The 18,471-nt window shown below is 38.6% G+C and overlaps 1 annotated feature.

Annotated features, from left to right (window-relative positions):
• Positions 2,545–3,044: an enhancer, noted in NCBI's record as "H3K4me1 hESC enhancer chr10:45510141-45510640 (GRCh37/hg19 assembly coordinates)". NCBI's record gives its function as "activates a minimal SCP1, AML or CMV promoter by ChIP-STARR-seq in naive H9 embryonic stem cells {active_cell/tissue: H9 hESC(naive)}" and the evidence as "EXISTENCE:reporter gene assay evidence [ECO:0000049][PMID:30033119]".

Raw genomic sequence — 18,471 nt, forward strand, 5'->3', positions numbered from 1 at the left:
GGGTTTTTTGTGTCTCTATGTCCTTCAGTTCTGCTCTGATTTTAGTTATTTCTTGCCTTCTGCTAGCTTTTGAATGTGTTTGCTCTTGCTTTTCTAGTTCTTTTAATTGTGATGTTAGGGTATCAATTTTGGATCTTTCCTGCTTTCTCTTGTGGGCATTTAGTGCTATAAATTTCCCTCCACACACTGCTTTGAATGCATCCCAGAGATTCTGGTATGTTGTGTCTTTGTTCTCGTTGGTTTCAAAGAACATCTTTATTTCTGCCTTCATTTCGTTATGTACCCAGTAGTCATTCAGGAGCAGGTTGTTCAGTGTCCATGTAGTTGAGCAGTTTTGAGTGAGATTCTTAATCCTGAGTTCTAGTTTGATTGCACTGTGGTCTGAGAGATAGTTCGTTATAATTTCTGTTCTTTTACATTTGCTGAGGAGAGCTTTACTTCCAACTATGTGGTCAATTTTGGAATAGGTGTGGTGTGGTGCTGAAAAAAATGTATATTCTGTTGATTTGGGACGGAGAGATCTGTAGATGTCTATTAGGTCCACTTGGTGCAGAGCTGAGTTCATTTCCTGGGTATCCTTGTTGACTTTCTGTCTCGTTGATCTGTCTAATGTTGACAGTGGGGTGTTAAAGTCTCCCATTATTAATGTGTGGGAGTCTAAGTCTCTTTGTAGGTCACTCAGGACTTGCTTTATGAATATGGGTGTTCCTGTATTGGGTGCATATATATTTAGGATAGTTAGCTCTTCTTGTTTAATTGACCCGTTTACCATTATGTAATGGTCTTCTTTGTCTCTTTTGATCTGTGTTGGTTTAAAGTCTGTTTTATCAGAGACTAGGATTGCAACCCCTGCCTTTTTTTGTTTTCCATTTGCTTGGTAGATCTGAATCCTTTTATTTTGAGCCTATGTGTGTCTCTGCACGTGAGATGTGTTTCCTGAATACAGCACACTGATGGATCTTGACTCGTTATCCAATTTGCCAGTCTGTGTCTTTTAATTGGAGCATTTAGTCCATTTACATTTAAAGTTAATATTGTTATGTGTGAATTTGATCCTGCCATTATGATGTTAGCTGGTTATTTTGCTCATTAGTTGATGCAGTTTCTTCCTAGTCTCGATGGTCTTTACATTTTGGCATGATTTTGCAGTGGCTGGTACCGGTTGTTCCTTTCCATGTTTAGCGCTTCCTTCAGGAGTTCTTTTAGGGCAGGCCTGGTGGTGACAAAATCTCTCAGCATTTTCTTGTCTGTAAAGTATTTTATTTCTCCTTCACTTATGAAGCTTAGTTTGGCTGTATATGAAATTCTGGATTGAAAATTCTTTTCTTTAAGAATGTTGAATATTGGCCCGCACTCTCTTCTGGCTTGTAGAGTTTCTGCCAAGAGATCCGCTGTTAGTCTGATGGGCTTCCCTTTGAAGGTAACCCGACCTTTCTCTCTGGCTGCCCTTAACATTTTTTCCTGCATTTCAACTTTGGTGAATCTGACAATTATGTGTCTTGGAGTTGCTCTTCTCGAGGAGTATCTTTGTGGCGTTCTCTGTATTTCCTGAATCTGAATGTTGGCCTGCCTTGCTAGATTGGGGAAGTTCTCCTGGATAATATCCTGCAGAGTGTTTTCCAACTTGGTTCCATTCTCCCCATCACTTTCAGGTACACCAATCAGACGTAGATTTGGTCTTTTCACATAGTCCCATATTTCTTGGAGGCTTTGTTCATTTCTTATTATTCTTTTTTCTCTAAACTTCCCTTCTCGCTTCATTTCATTCATTTCATCTTCCATCGCTGATACCCTTTCTTCCAGTTGATCACATCGGCTCCTGAGGCTTCTGCATTCTTCACGTAGTTCTCGAGCCTTGGTTTTCGGCTCCATCAGGTCATTTAAGCACTTCTCTGTATTGGTTATTCTAGTTATATATTCTTCTAAATTTTTTTCAAAGTTTTCAACTTCTTTGCCTTTGGTTTGAATTTCCTTCTGTAGCTCAGAGTAATTTGTTCGTCTGAAGCCTTCTTCTCTCAGCTCGTCAAAGTCATTCTCCGTCCAGCTTTGTTCTGTTCCTGGTGAGGAACTGCTTTCCTTTGGAGGAGGAGAGGCACTCTGCTTTTTAAAGTTTCCAGTTTTTCTGCTCTGTTTTTTCCCCATCTTTGTGGTTTTATCTACTTTCCGTCTTTGATGATGGTGATGTACAGATGGGTTTTTGGTGTGGATGTCCTTTCTGTTTGTTAGTTTTCCTTCTAACAGACAGGACCCTCAGCTGCAGGTCTGTTGGAGTACCCGGCCATGTGAGGTGTCAGTCTTCTCCTGCTGGGGAGTGCTTCCCAGTTAGGCTGCTCGGGGGTCAGGGGTCAGGGACCCACTTGAGGAGGCAGTCTGCCCGTTCTCAGATCTCCAGCTGCGTGCTGGGAGAACCACTGCTCTCTTCAAAGCTGTCAGACAGGGACATTTAAGTCTGCAGAGGTTACTGCTGTCTTTTTGTTTGTTTCTGCCCTGCCCCCAGAGGTGGAGCCTACAGAGGCAGGCAGGCCTCCTTGAGCTGTGGTGGGCTCCACCCAGTTCGAGCTTCCCAGCTGCCTTGTTTACCTAAGCAAGCCTGGGCAATGGTGGGTGCCCCTCCCCCAGCCTTGCTGCCGACTTGCAGTTTGATCTCAGACTGCTGTGCTAGCAATCAGCAAGACTCCGTGGGTGTAGGACCCTCCGAGCCAGGTGCAGGATATAATCTCCTGGTGCGCCGTTTTTTAAGCCCGTTGGAAAAGCGCAGTCTTAGGGTGGGAGTGACCCGATTTTCCAGGTGCCGTCTGTCACCCCTTTCTTTGACTAGGAAAGGGAACTCCCTGACCCCTTGCGCTTCCTGAGTGAGGCAATGCCTCGCCCTGCTTCGGCTCGCGCATGGTGCATACACCCACTGACCTGCACCCACTGTCTGGCACTCCCTAGTGAGATGAACCCGGTACCTCAGATGGAAATGCAGAAATCACCCATCTTCTGCATCGCTCACACTGGGAGCTGTAGACCGGAGCTGTTCCTATTCAGCCATCTTGGCTCCTCCTCTTCAAAAAGTTTCAAATACTAGATTTTCATATTAGGGATGCTCAACCTGTGTTTTCCTTTGAAAATACCATGCTCAAAATGTAGAGACTACTCCTTACAATCAACTAGGGTTCAGTTAAATGTCTGAAAATACAAGCATAATTTTAAAAGTTGAGCACACTTTAGTCAAATTACCTGAATGCCATTTCTATTTCCACTGTAACTTAGATGTTAAATAACTTACAAGACACAGGAGGACAGGCAAGTCCCTTTCTTATCCTGGTAGAAAAAGAAATTATCCAAAGTGTTTGCTAAATAAATAATAGCTATTTTCTCAGTTTCTCTCTTTTGCTCTTTTCTACAGCCAGCTCCATGAAAGATTTGTCTACATTTATCTTCCCTGTTTCCTTACCTGGCAGTCTCCCCTTAGTCTATTTCCATCAAGTTTTAATCCATCACTGTGCTTAAAAACACTCTCTCCAAGGAGTCTCCATGAAAATCTGTGCAGAATAGGTGCCCAGACTCTGAGAGGATGGCTAGAATGCAAGGCCAGACCCTTTGGGAATGAAATGCAGCTGTAGAGACTGATGCAGGAGCTGCAGAGTTGGGAGAACAGCTTACTTTTCATAGATAAGCTGTTTGAACTTCTTATCGTGTGCAGACATTCTATTTACAGTTGAAATGTAAATTAAAAGTAAATTACATTCCAGTAGCAAAACGGAGATTGGGAACAGCCTAGGGAAACAGGAAAGGGGGTCCCAGAATAACACTTAGGTCCTTTCTCACCTTTGCCTGGTAGATGAGAAGTCATCACTGAGAAGTCAGTTGTGAGCACTGAATTTCATAAAGCGACCATCTCATCTAGTACTTATTCTAATCCTCCTGGTGCTTTTCTTCTCCCCTCTTCCAAAAGGCTGAGCTGTACCACAGAGCCTACACATGTGAACCTCTTCGTGGTCAGCAGTTGAGTACGTCTCTGGTGGGATGTAGAATCTGAAAGGCAGTGTGATGTAAGAGAATAATCTCTGAATTGGAGTCATTAGTCCTGAGTTTTAGATCCAGTTCTGCTATGGAAAATCTATGTGCCTTTAGGCAAGTCATTTTTTCTCTCTGGTCTTAATACCAGATGAAGCCAAAGCTGGCAATTAAACTTGTTTCAGTTATGATCCTATGGCTTCAAGGTGCTGAAACCAACATTCATTAACTAAAGCAAAATAAAGAGAAGTAAAAAAAGATGACTGAAGAAAGAGTTGAACCACCGGGACTTAGGAAGGGTAGCCAGGGCAGCCCCAGGTATCTCGAGTTTATGAATGGGCCTTCAGGGGACTACCATTAGAAGTTCTCAGCTCTAGCTACAACCTGCCCATAGCTGTAATGACAGGGCTCCTTCCTGTCTTTAATGTGTGTGTTTTGTAGGGGGAGGAGTAATGTTATTTCTAATGATAAGAAAGAAAGTAGGAAAGAAAGGAAAGAAAGGAGGGAGGAAGAAGAGAAAAGACAAAACAGAAAAGAGATGGAATTTATATTCTTGAAACTTATTAGCTCTGGAGGCAATTTCTAAATTTACAAATTAGTATTCTAACAATATTTTGAGCAATCGCAGCATTGCAATGAACATACAACTTTCACATATGACTACTTTGAAAAAACAATAATTTGTCAAATATGTAAGTCTTGGTAGTATGTTTTGTTATGTAAGTCTTGGTAGTATGTTTTATATCCATTATTGCAAAAAATACTAATAAATGTTTATATTATTGAGTCAGGTCTTCTAAGGACTTCCAGTAAGTGAATCCTATCTACTTAGAAGCAATAAAACACAAAATTATAGGCATACCTCAGAGATACTGCAAATTTGGTTCTGGACTACAGCAAAAAAGTGATATCTCAGTAAAGTGAGTCAAACAATAAAAAATAAATTGTTTTATTTCCCAGTGCATTTAAAAGTTACGTTTACACTATACTGTAGTCAAGTGTGCAAGGGCAAGATGTCTACAAAACAATGGGTATACTTTAATTAAAAATACCTTATGGCTAAAAAAATGCTGAAGATGATCTGAGCCTTCACAGACTCAATCTTTTTGCTAAAGGACGGCCTTGCCTTGATGTTGATGGCTACTGACTGATCAGGATAGTGGTTGCTTAAGGTTGGGGTGGCTATGGCAAATTCTTAGTGAAGTTTACCACATGAATTGACTCTTTCATGAAAGATTTCTCTGTAGCATATGGTGCTGTTTGATAGCGTTTTACCCACAATATAACTTTTTTCAAAATTGGAGTCAGTCTTCTCAAACCTTGATGCTGCTTTACCGACTAAGTTTATGGAATATTCTAAATCCTTTGTGGTAATTTCAACAATGTTCACAGCATCTTCACTAGGAGTAGATTTCATCTCAAGAAACCACTTTCTTTGCTCATCTATAAAACACAACTCCTCACGCATTCAAGTCTTATCATGAGATTGCAGCAATTTAGTCACATGTTGAGGCTCCACTTCTCATTCTAGTTCTCTCACTATTTCCACCACATCTGCAGTGCCATCCTCCACTGAAATCCTGAACTTCTTAAAGTCACCCATGAGGATAGGAATCAACTTCTTCCAAAGTTGATATTTTGATCTTCTCTCATGAATAATAAATGTTTTTAATGGCATCTAGAATGGCGAATACCTTCCAGAAGGTTTTCACTTTATATTGCCCTGATCTGTCAGAGGAATCAATATGGAAACTACAGACAAAATATATTTCTTAAATAATAAGATTAGCAAATCAAAATTACTCCTTGATCCATGAGCTACAGAGTGGATGTTTTATTAGCAGTTGTGAAAACAACATTAATCTCCTTGTACATCTCCATTAGAGCTTTTGGGTGACCAGGTACATTGTCAATGAATAGTAATATTTTAAAAGGAATCTTTTTTCTGAGCATTAGGTTTCAACAGTTGGCTTAAAATATTGAGTAAACCATACTTTAAAAAGATGAACTGTCATCCAGATTTTGTTCAATTTACAGAACAGAGTCAGTAGAATTAGTATAATTCATAACAGCCTTGGGATTTTCAGAGTGGTAAATGAGCACTGGCTTTAACTTAAAGTCACCAGCTGCATTAGCCCCTAACAAGAGAGTCAGCCTGTCCTTTGATGTTTGAAGCCAGGCATTGACTTCTCCTCTCTAGTTATGAAAGTCCTAGCTAGATGGTGTCTTCTCCCAACAGAAGACCATTTCATCTACATTGAAAATCTGTTGTTTAGTGTGGCCACCTTCATCAGTGATCTTAGCTAGATCTTCTGGATAACTTGCTGCATCTTCTTCATCAGCACTTGCTGCTTCACCTTGCACTTTTATGTTATAGAGATGGCCCATTCCTTTAAACTTCATGAACCAACTTCTGCTGGCTTCCAACTTTTCTTCTGCAGCTTCTTCACCTCTCTCAGCCTTCATGGAATTGAAGAGAGTTAGGCCCTTGCTCTGGATTACGCTTTGGCTTAAGGAATGTTGTGGCTGTTTTGACCTTCTATTCAGACCACTAAAACTTTCTTCATATCAGCCATAAGGTTGTTTCAGTTTCCTGTCATTTATATGTTCACTGAATCCATGAATGATGATTTTTTAAAAAAACATTAATTTCCGGCTGGATGCGGTGGCTCACGCCTGTAATCCCAGCACTTTGGGAGGCTGAGGCAGGTGGATCACCCAAAGTCAGGAATTCGAGACCAGCCTGACCAATATGGTGAAACCCCGTCTCTACTAAAAACACAAAAATTAGCCAGGTGTGGTGGTGGGCACCTGCAGTCCCAGCTACTCAGGAGGCTGAGACAGGAGAATTGCTTGAACCCAGGAGGCAGAGGTTGCAGTAAACTGAGATCGCGCCACTGTGCTCTAGCCTGGGCGACAAAGTGAGACTCCATCTCAAAAAAAAAAAAAAAGAAAAAGAAAAAAATTAATTTCCTCAAGAACATTTTCTTTGCATTTACAACTTGGCTCACTGTCTGCGTAGCTTTTGACATGCCTTCCCCACTAAGCTTAACCATTTCTAGCTTTTGATTTAAGATGAGAGACATGCAACTCTTCCTTTCACTTGAACACTTAGAGGCCATTGTAGGATTATTGACTGGCCTAATTTCAGTATTGTTGTGTTTGAGATATTGTGAGAATTACCAAAATGCGAATGAAGTGAGCACGTGCTGTTAGAAAAATGGTGCCAATAGACTTGCTGCATACAGGATTGCCACAAACCTTCCATTTGTAAGCAATGCAATATCTGCAAAGTGCAATAAAGGGAGGCAGTAAAATGAGGTCTGCCTGCATTTAAATTGCTTTTTACTTCACACTTACTTGAGAAAAGTTCCTCACCGGCAATTTTCCCTTTAAAAAAATCTTGATTTAACTCAAGTACTGGTTTTAAACTTTATACTTCATAGCAGAATTATTAAGCCATATTTTCTAACTTAGCTTTCAGATTGCTTATATCTACTATGACTACATTATTTTGTTCTCTTTCCTGTGCTCCAATAAAAAGTGTGTATTCTTACCTAGATGTGTATAAACTTTTAATTAGCATGTAATTAGGAGAAAAAGTTCTCATATTAATATTCTGATATTTATTGAAATATATATAAATTTCTTTTAATCCTATTATACTCATCTTTTTAAATATTACTACTGTTTTATTACATAATATTAACTCTCCTCTTTTAAGTACTTTATGAACTCATGACCTTTCACTGGCTTAAGCTCTTCTAATTAAACATAATTATGATTGTGGTCTTTGATTCTCACTAGTAGGAGCAGATCGCCTTGACATCTTGAGAGCATCCCCATTTTCTGTTACTAGTAAGTCCAGACCCATGGTGATTTTTCCTGAGCCGTGGAATCAGTTGTCCTCCAAGAGGTGATGGTTCCTTTTCCTGGAAAATAATCTTGGAGATGCAAATCTGGTTACTGTGCATGGGCATGAGAGTCACAAAGTGGGAAAAATCATGCTTTTTAAGGTTATGTGTTTGCACTGGCTTGTCTTTTCTTTTTCATTTCAAAAAGTTATGTAGCCATGTCCCACTAGACTCCAGGTTTTGTCTATCTCCACAACTTTATACTATGCAGACACCAGGCTGCTACTCAGCTGTGATGTGACTTGCTACTCAGCTCTGATGTGACTCTGGATGGGCGGCCAGCACTCCACTTTGTGTCTTTAATCAGCGAACACTGATGGGCTCCATGCCAATAGTGCCAGTGGGGGACTCAGTGGGCCCCAGCTATGCAAAAAGGGAGCCACAAAACCAAATCATGCCTAAGATGGGGATACATGCAGAACGGAGACATGCACTGGCCCCAGCACAGCACCAAGGATGAGAGAACCTCCTCTGGTTGGGTGGGCCAGGAAGGATTTGCCAGTTCAGAGGAGATGAGGATGAGGAGGTAGAGAAGGCACCAATCATGGAGGGTGTGAATGACCAGCTAAGAAGTGTGACCAATGTTCCTGAAGTCATTCTGGTATTACCAGAGGGCTTTAAGTAGGGGCAATATAGAGTCAGATTTTTATTTTTATTTTTATTTTTATTTTACTTTATTTTATTTTAAATTTGAGATAGAGCCTCACTCTGTCACCCTGACTGGAGTGCAGGGGCACCATCTCGGTTCAATGCAACCTCTGCCTCCCCGGTTCAAGCAACTCTCCTGCCTCCACCTCCCAAGTAACTGGGGTTACAGGTGCCTGCCACCACGCCCAGCTCATTTTGTATTTTTAGTAGAGATGGGGTTTCACCCTGTGGGCCAGGCTGGTCTCAAACTCCAGACCTCAAGTGATCCACCCACCTTGGGCCTCCCAAAGTGCTGGGATTACAGACCTGAGCCACTGCGCCTGGCCAGATTTGCATTTTTAATGGATCTTTCTGGCAGCCATGTAGAAGAATGTCTCAAGTATATATGCTATTGCACGTTACACAGATTCTTTTCAGTTTCCTCTTCTCCATTTTCTGATGCTGAGGGTATGTTATTCCAAATAATACCACTTGACAATCATATATTCTTTTATTTCCTTTCTGAAATTCAAGGGAAATTGAGTGGCTTAGGCCTTTCCTTTCCAGAGCTGGCCTTTTAAACCTCCAGAGCTCCAAAGCCAAGGCAAAGTTTATGTAGTGGATTGAAAGACTTACTTATCTTCTATCAACATTTATTATTTTGATAATTAATTAATGCCTCACATGGTCCTAGAAAAAAATTATAGTAAGTTTCCAAAATGTGCAACAACAACACTCAGAATGGTCATGCTTCATAGTGGTTGTGATGGTTAATTGTACTTGTTGACTTGACTGGGTTAAATAATATGCACGTAGTGGATAAATCATTATTTCTGGATGTGTATGTGGGGAAGAGATTGGCATTTGCATCTGTAGACAGAATAAAGAAGATAAGCCCTCACCAATGTAGATGAGCATCATCCAATCCCTTGAGAGTTGGGATAAAACAAAAAGGCAGAGGAAAGGTGAATTCACTCTCCTCTGGAGCTGGGAAATCCATTTTCTCCTGCCCTTAGGCTCTGATACTATTGGTTCTTGAGCCTTCATATTTGGAGGCTGACACCAGCAGCCCCCTAGGTTCTCAGACCTTTGGAGTCAAATGGAATTATACCACCTGCTTTTCTGGTTCTTGAGCTTGCAAATGGCAGATCGTGGGACTTCTTGGCCTCCATAATCATGTGAACCAATTTCCATGATATAGGCTGGGCGTCTCCTTTTATAGGCTGGGCGTGGTGGCTCACTCCTGTAATCCCAGCACTTTGGGAGGCCAAGGCAGATGAATCACCTGAGGTCAGGAGTTTGAGACCAGCCTGATCAACATGGTGAAATCTCCATCTCTACTAAAAATACAAAAATTAGCCATTCATGGTGGCGCATGCCTGTAATCCTAGCTTCTAGGGTGGCTGAGGCAGGAGAATTGCTTGAACCCAGGGGGCAGAGGTTGCAGTGAGCTGAGATTACACCACTGCACTCCAGCCTGGGTGACAGAGGGAGACTCTGTCTCAAAAAATAAAATAAAATAAATCTCCTTTTATGCATCTATACATATCTGACTGATTCTGCTTCTCTGGAGAGCCCTGACTACTAGAGCAGTCTCTAAAAGAGCTTATTTCAACTGCCCACTGATATCTTCCTGAACACACAGGTGAGAATACAAACCCATGCTCTCACTAAAACCTCAGAATGATAGACAACCTATTAACAAATAAGCCTAGATTAAGGAATACAGTCCAGACTTTGTTACATGGAAGGCTCAGGCTTTGATTGATGAAACAAAGGTGACATAAAAACAGCAGAAAAACACTTAGGTCCTGTATTAGTTTTCTAGCCCTGCTATATAGCAAAGTAACACAAACTGGGTGGCTTTCAATAACAGAAATTTGTCTTCTTACAGTTCTGGGTGTTAGAAGTCTGAAATCAAAGTGTACACCGGGCCATGTACTCCTTGTGGGGTCTGGAGGAGAATAATCTGTTCCATGCCTTTCTCTTAGGTTTTGTTGCTGCTGGCTATCTTTAACATTCCTTGGCTTATAGACACATTGTTCCAATCTCTGCCTCCATCTTCGCAAAGCCTTCTCCCTGGTGTGTCTCAGTGTCTGTGCCTCTTCTCTTCTTATAACAATACCAGTTAGAATGGATTAAGGGCCCACTTATTCCAATAAGACCTCATTTTAACCGTAAGTACATTTTCAATGGTCCTATTTCCAAATAAGGTCACATTCTAAAATTCAGGAAGGACATGAATTTTGGGGAGACACTATCTAACCCAGTACAGGTTCTATCTCTTGGCCTGCTCCTGTGATTCAAGATCAGTGAGAAAACAAGGTACCACCAACTAAGTAGCTTAAAACAACATAGGTCTGTTGGTCAAAATTCTGGATGGGCTCAACAGAGTTTTCTGCTTAGGATCTCACAAGACCAAAATCAAGGTTTAGGCTGGGCTCTCATCAGGAGGCTCTGGGCAAGAAGGTGCTTCCAGGTCATCTAGGTTGCTGGCAAATAATACAGAGTAGTAAAAAGGAATTATCCTGGCATTAGAAAGGAAGAATATACTTGGCTTGGCTTGGATGCTACCAAAAACAGTGACTAAGCAAGAATATATATATAGGATAATTTATTTGGGAGAAAATCTCAGAGAATGGAAGGGAGGCCCCTGGGAAAGTGATAAAAGGAAGAAAGACTGAGAGCAACTGGAACTTAATTCCATCAGGACATTCAAAGGAGCCTATAGAGTGTCTCTCCCATTTGTCTATCCAAGGACCCACAGGGAGCAGCCTTTATCCATTGGCTCTGATAGGGCCGCTGCCCAGGACACTAAATCCCCCACATACTTCCAGATTGTGATGGTTCTTGTGTGCTGGAGAGAGGGCTGCAGTCTATGATGACAAAGACATCCAAAAATGAAAGTAAAGGATGTGCAAGGCATATTTGGAGCAAGACGCTTGTGGTGTGAGGTGAGTCAAAGCCCATGCTAAGTTGTTTGCCTCAGTCACTGCTGGAATCAGAAGCAAGACTGAGAGGATGGGAGTTTGGCACCAGACCTGGTATAATACTTCTGAAAACTATCTACTGAAATGCAGCAAAATGCTTCTCATCCTCACAAATATGAGAGAAGCCAAGTTCAGAAAGCAAAAAGACAAAATAAGAAAACAGTTGGATTAGGAAAGATTGCAAGAAATCTAAAATTGAAATCTAGGCAATTGAAATCCACACTGAAAGCAGCAGAGACCAACGCAGATATTTTAGACAACAAAATGATGTAAAAGAGAGATCAGGAGACACATCCAGAGTGTAGAGAAAAAGAACATAGAAATAAAAATGAGGCCGGGCACAGTGGCTCACACCTGTAATCCCAACATTTTGGGAGGCCGAGGAGGGTGGATCACTTGAGGTCAGGAGTTCCAGACCAGCCTGGCCAACATGATGAAACCCTGCCTCTACTAAAAATACAAAAAATTAGACAGGCGTGGTGGCATGCACTTGTAATCCCAGATACTTAGGAGGCTGATGCCAGGAGAATTGCTTGAACCCGGAAGTTGGAGGTTGCAGTGAGCTGAGTTGGCACTACTGCACTCCAGCCTGTGCAACAGAGCAAGACTCCATCTCAAAAAAAAAAAAAAAAGAAAAAAGAAAAAAAGAAAGAAAGAAAGAAAAGTGAGAATTACAATGGACAGAGTTCAGCTCTCGAGTCTCTGGCTAGCATGATGGGGAATGCACTTGGTGTATTGGAATCAAGAGGAAGGAGCATCCCAGCCTCTGATGACCAAGAGTTTTCTGAATTCAGAGGCTGTATTAGTTATGTGTTGCTGCATAACAAATAACTACAAACTTAGCAGTTTAGAACAACATACACTTATTATCTTATCGTTTCTATGAGTCAAGAGTTCAGGCATAGCTTCTTGGGGTCCTATGCTTCCTGGCTTCCCACCAGGCTGCAATCAAGATGTTGGCTGGCATTGTGGAAAACCGTGTGGAGGTTTCTCAAAAAACTAAAACTACCAAACAATCCAACAATCTCACTACTGAGTGTTTTCCAAAGGAAATGAAATCAGTATATCAAAGGCATACTTGCACCCCCATAACACTATTCACAATAACTAAGATATGGAATCAACATAAATGTCCATCAACAGATGAATGGATTAAAAAAATTTGGTGTGTATACACGATAGAATACTACTCAGCCATAAAAAATGAAATCCTGTGCTGGGCACGGTGGCTCATGCCTGTAAGCCCAGCACTCTGGGAAGCTGAGGTTAGAGGATTGCTTGAGAGTTCAAGACCAGCCTGGGCAACATAGTGAGACCCTGTCTCTAGGAAAAATACAAAAAAGCAACGGGGCATGGTGGCACATGCCTGTAATTCCAGCTACTCAAGGAGGCTGAGACAGGGCGATCACTTGAGCCCAGTAGTTCGAGGCTGCAGTGAGCTATGATCATGCCACCATACTCCAGCCTGGGTGACAGAGACCTTGTCTCAAAAAAAAATATGAAATAAAAACTTGTCATTCATGGCAACGTGGATGGAGCTGGAGGATGTTATGTTAAGCAAAATAAGTCAGGCACAGAAAGATAAATACTGAATGTTTTCATTCATATGTAGGAGCTAAATAAAAACCAAACTCATGGAAGTAGAGAGTAGCATTGTGGGTATTAGAGGCTGGAAAGGGTAGAAGGGAGGGGAGATAAGGAGAAGGCTAACTGATACAAAGTTACAGCTAAAGAGAAAGAACAAGTTCTAGTGTTCTGTAGCACTGTAGCATGAATATGGTTAATTATAATTTGTTGTGTATTTTCAGAAAACTAGAAGAGTGAATTTTGAATGTTCACAACAGAAAGAAATGATGTGTTTGAGGTAATGGATATACCAATTACCCTGATTTTGTAATTACACATTGTATACATACATCAAAATATTATTCTGCATTCTATAAATATGTATGGCTTCTATGTGTCAACTAAAAAGAAAAAGAAAACAATTGGGGAGAAAAAAGATGGTGGCTGGGGCTGCAATTTCATCTCAAGGCTTGACTGGGGAAGGATGTTCTTCCACAATTATGTGGTTATTGGCAGAATTCAGTTTCTTGTGTTCTATTGACTGAGGGACTTTATTTCCTTCTCGTGGTTGGCTAGAAGCTTCTCATAGTTCTTTACTATGTGGGCCTGCCTCCTCATATAGCAGCTCATAGGATAGCAATTTGTTTCACCAAAGCCAGCAAGAGACAGTCTGCTAGCAAGGTAGAAGTTACAATCGTATGTAACATAATCATAGAGGTGATATTCCATTATGCCTGCTATGTTCTATTGGTTAGAATTAACTTAGATCTCCCCCTCCATCAACACTCAAGGGAGGGAACCACACAGGATGTGAACATTAGGAGGCAGAGATGACTAGGGACCATCTTGAAGCCCACACAGCACAGGAGCAGAGGAAGGGTATTCCAGAGATTGCAGTTTGTACAAAGATATGAAAGTGTGAGATAGAATGTCACATTTAGGAACTTGCCAGGGGTTAGCATAGCTGGAGAATAGAACACAAAGTAGAGATTAGTAGAACTAGAAATACCATTTGACCCAGCCATCCCATTACTGGGTATATACCCAAAGGACTATAAATCATGCTGCTATAAAGACACATGCACTCGTATGTTTATTGTGGCACTATTCACAATAGCAAAGACTTGGAACCAACCCAAATGTCCAACAATGATAGACTGGATTAAGAAAATGTGACACATATACACCATGGAATACTATGCAGCCATAAAAAATGATGAGTTCATGTCCTTTGTAGGGACATGGATGAAATTGGAAATCATCATTCTCAGTAAACTATCGCAAGAACAAAAAACCAAACACCGCATATTCTCACTCATAGGTGGGAATTGAACAATGAGATCACATGGACACAGGAAGGGGAACATCACACTCTGGGGACTGTTGTGGGGTAGGGGGAGGGGGGAGGGATAGCATTGGGAGATATACCTAGTGCTAGATGACAAGTTAGTGGGTGCAGCGCACCAGCATGGCACATGTATACATATGTAACTAACCTGCACAATGTGCACATGTACCCTAAAACTTAAAGTATAATAATAAAAGAAAAAAAAGAAAAAAAAATCTGAACTAAGCAGGGACCACATCTTTGTGGGCTTTTTATGCCAAGCAAGGCTCTAGATTATGTTACTAGATCATGTGTTGGCTGGATTATATTGGTGGTCAGAACATTACATGGGCTGTTGGTTGCTAAATTCAGGACCACCACTAGTTTCATTGTTTTTGTATGAATAAGAAAGGAATCCTTTCCTCCAAGTTAACAGGACCCTGCTGCAGGACATATAACATGTAATGTGGAGGAGAAGTGAGGTTTCAGCCCCCTTCATCCTTCCACTGATGAGTGCACAAGTAGAGTGCAGAGCAACAACCTTGCAGGTGCCAATTGAAAGAGTGCAGCATTTTTTTTTTCAGAGAGAAATGATATGGGCCTGATTAATGAGGCCAGTGGTTGTGATGATAGAAGAGGGGAGCAACAAAAGTGATTTCTTTAAAAAAAAAAAAAAAAAGCAAGAATCACACAGACTCAGCAATGGCTAGGTATGAGGAATGAGAGAAGGGAAAGGCACTAGAATGATTTTTTTTACATCTCTGGCTTGGACAACCTATTGAAATGTGACATTGCTAATTAAGATAAAGCAATATGTTAGGAGAAGGATATTGGGGACAAAGGAGCTGTATCAGTGAAAGTCACAGCAGGAAACAGATGGTATGTTCCAATTAGGATTTTCTGTAGAGGATTTATTAAAGAAACTATCTCTTATAGAGAAAATTATTAAAGTTATGGGCAAGATGTGGGAAAATCACAAGAAACAGTGCAGCACCCTGGGGCTAGTAGCAGTGGGGCTGGAACCACCCTTAGGCTTAAAGAGGGGAGAAGAGGGGAAGGAATGATTGTCATAGTGGGAAGGATAATTGTATGGTGAGGGTGACCATTGAGAGGAGCTAGGGCACTTGATGGAGGCATCCAGCCTCCATTCCTCTGAAATGACACAGTAGGGAGGAAGCTGTTAGAATAAATACCCTGACTTCACTCTCCTTCCAACCTCCAATTTGTCAGGGTACCCCCAAATGGAAGAACAGAGAACAAAGAACTCCTATTGGTGTAGTCCTTCCAGGGAAGAACCCAGAGAATGATATATATGAATTAAGCAAAAAACTGCCAAAATATTTTATTATTTTTAAAATATCTGTAGTATTTGGAATGATGTCCCTTTTTTCATTCCTGTTATTTGTAATTTTTGTTTTTTTCTTTATCAGTCTTGCTATCATATCAATTCTAACATCAATTCTATTAACATATAAAAAAAGTCATTTTATTGAAATTGTTGTTTTCTATTTTCATTTTTTTTTTAATGTCATGGAATTCTGCTATTTTCTTTATGTTTTCATTAGCCTTTCAAAAGTTTGATTTACTTTCTTTTTCTAGCTTATTTAGAGGAAAGTTAAAAAATAACATTTCAGATATACTTTTTCCTCTAAGTATGCATTTAAGGCCAAAAATTTTCCTCTATGAACTATGCTTAGAGTATGTACTTTGAATAATTTTGATTATTTTGTATTGAGATTTACTTTGTACTCAAAATATGGCCAGTTTTGGTGAATGTTCCATGTACACTTGAAAGATTTTGTATTTTGATGTTGTTGGATTCTATGCACATCAATTGGGTCACATTTCTCAGTTAAGCTCTTCAGAATGTTTATCTTTACTATATATCCTTTTTAGATTATATTATTGGTTATTGAGAGGCGTATTATAGTCTCCTACTTTAATTGTGTTTTTTCTGTTTCTTCTTCTATTTTGTCAATTTTTGTTTTTTATATTTAGAAACTATATTATTTGGTGCATACACATTGAGAATTGTTATATCTTCCTGGTAAATTGATTCCTTCCTAATTATGAAATATTCCTTTTTCTCTAGTGACTTTTCCTGCCTTAAAGCCTACTTTGCCATTAATTTCTATATCAGTTTCCCTTTTTCACTGTTTTCTTAATACCTTTTCCCACAATTTTGCTTTTAAACTTTGTGTCCTTAACAAGTTGTTTACTTGTAATAGCATATAGGTGAATTAGTCTTCTACTTTTCTAATTCAGTTTGTCTATTTATTGACACAATTACATTATTTATATTTAACATAGTTACAGAGATAAATGTGTTTATATATACCGTCTTTTTTCTTTATATGGATTAACTTTTTTCTATTTGATATATTTCTTTTCCTTTCTTCTCTTTTTTTGGGGGAGAAGGATTTAATTTTATATATACTATATATAAACATCTAATATGTATAATATTCAATAATTAATTACATAAATATACATATTAGATGTTTATATACAGTATACATATTACATATTAGATATTTATATATTAGATATTTATATATTATATGTAATGTTACATATTAGATATTTATATATTAGATATGTATATATTATAGCTAATATTACTTATTAGATATGTATATATTATAGCTAATATTACTTATTAGATATGTATATATTATAGCTAATATTAGATATTAGAATTATCTAATATTACTTATTAGATATTTATATATCTAATATATATTTATATATCTAATATTTTGTATTCGATATTTATATAATCTATTCAAATGTACCATATATTATTTAATTATATAATTTTTATATATAGTATATTTAAATATACTATATATATTTTAAAATATATGAATGTACTATATATTATTTAATTATATGGTTATTATATATAGTAATTATATAATTACTATATATTTACCATACAGTACTATATATTATTTACTATATATTATTTTAATTATGTTATCATACATTAATTATATTAATACTAATTATTATCAATTACTAAATGTTACTTAATATTACAAATATTATATAAATATATATATCTTAACTTGTTAGCCATACAATATTTTACCCTTTTAGTTGTTACTCTAATAATTATGTGTATCTTAGGTATTTGCAGTCCAATATAATCACTTTTATTATTTCCCTGATAATACCAATGCCTTAGAACAATTTCACTTCTTTTATCATCTGCATGCCTTTTATCTTAAGTTTGGCATGCATCTTAATTCTATATGTATTTTAAATTGCATAAGAAACTGTTATTATTGTTTGTACAGGCAATATTCAGTCACTTATATTTTCTTATATGTTCCTTTATTCCCTCCTGCATTTCTACATTTCCATCTAGCATCACTTTTCTTCTGCCTAGACAACTCCCTTTAGTGTTTCTTTTAATGAAGTTACTTGGCAATAGAGTTACTCAATGTTTTTTGCAAAGTATCTTATCAAAATATTTTATCTTTGTTTTTGAAGAATATATTTCTTGGTATAGAATTCTCAGTTGACAGTTAATTTTATTTCAACACTTTAAATATTGTTTTCTTATAGTCTACCTTCTCTTGTTTCTATTGAGAATTTGACTTCAGTTTTATTGCCACTAATTTAAATTATTTTCTCTGGTTGTTCTTAGAATTAACTGTCTTGATTTTCAGAAGTTTTACTATGATATATTTAGGTATGGTTTTGTTTGTATTTAACATATTCGTCATTCACAGAGCTTCTTGCATCTGCGGACCGAAGTCTTTTTCTTAGTTCTGGATAGTTCTTGACCACTATTTTTCAAATATTTCTTCTGCCCCATTCTGTTTTCTTATATGTCTCCAGTTATAGATGCATTTTTCACTGTGTACCTCATGACTCTTACACTTCTTTGTTCTTTTTATTTTTTTATCTCTCTGTGCTTTCATTTGGATATTTTTTATTGAGCTGTCTTCTAGTTTACAAATTGTTTCTTCTGTTGTTTCTAATCTGCTTGTTAAATCTATTCTTTTCAGTTATTCATTTTGAATATTTTTCTACT

Source organism: Homo sapiens, chromosome 10, assembly GCF_000001405.40.
Source record: "Homo sapiens chromosome 10, GRCh38.p14 Primary Assembly".
Taxonomy (NCBI): Eukaryota; Metazoa; Chordata; class Mammalia; order Primates; family Hominidae; genus Homo; species Homo sapiens.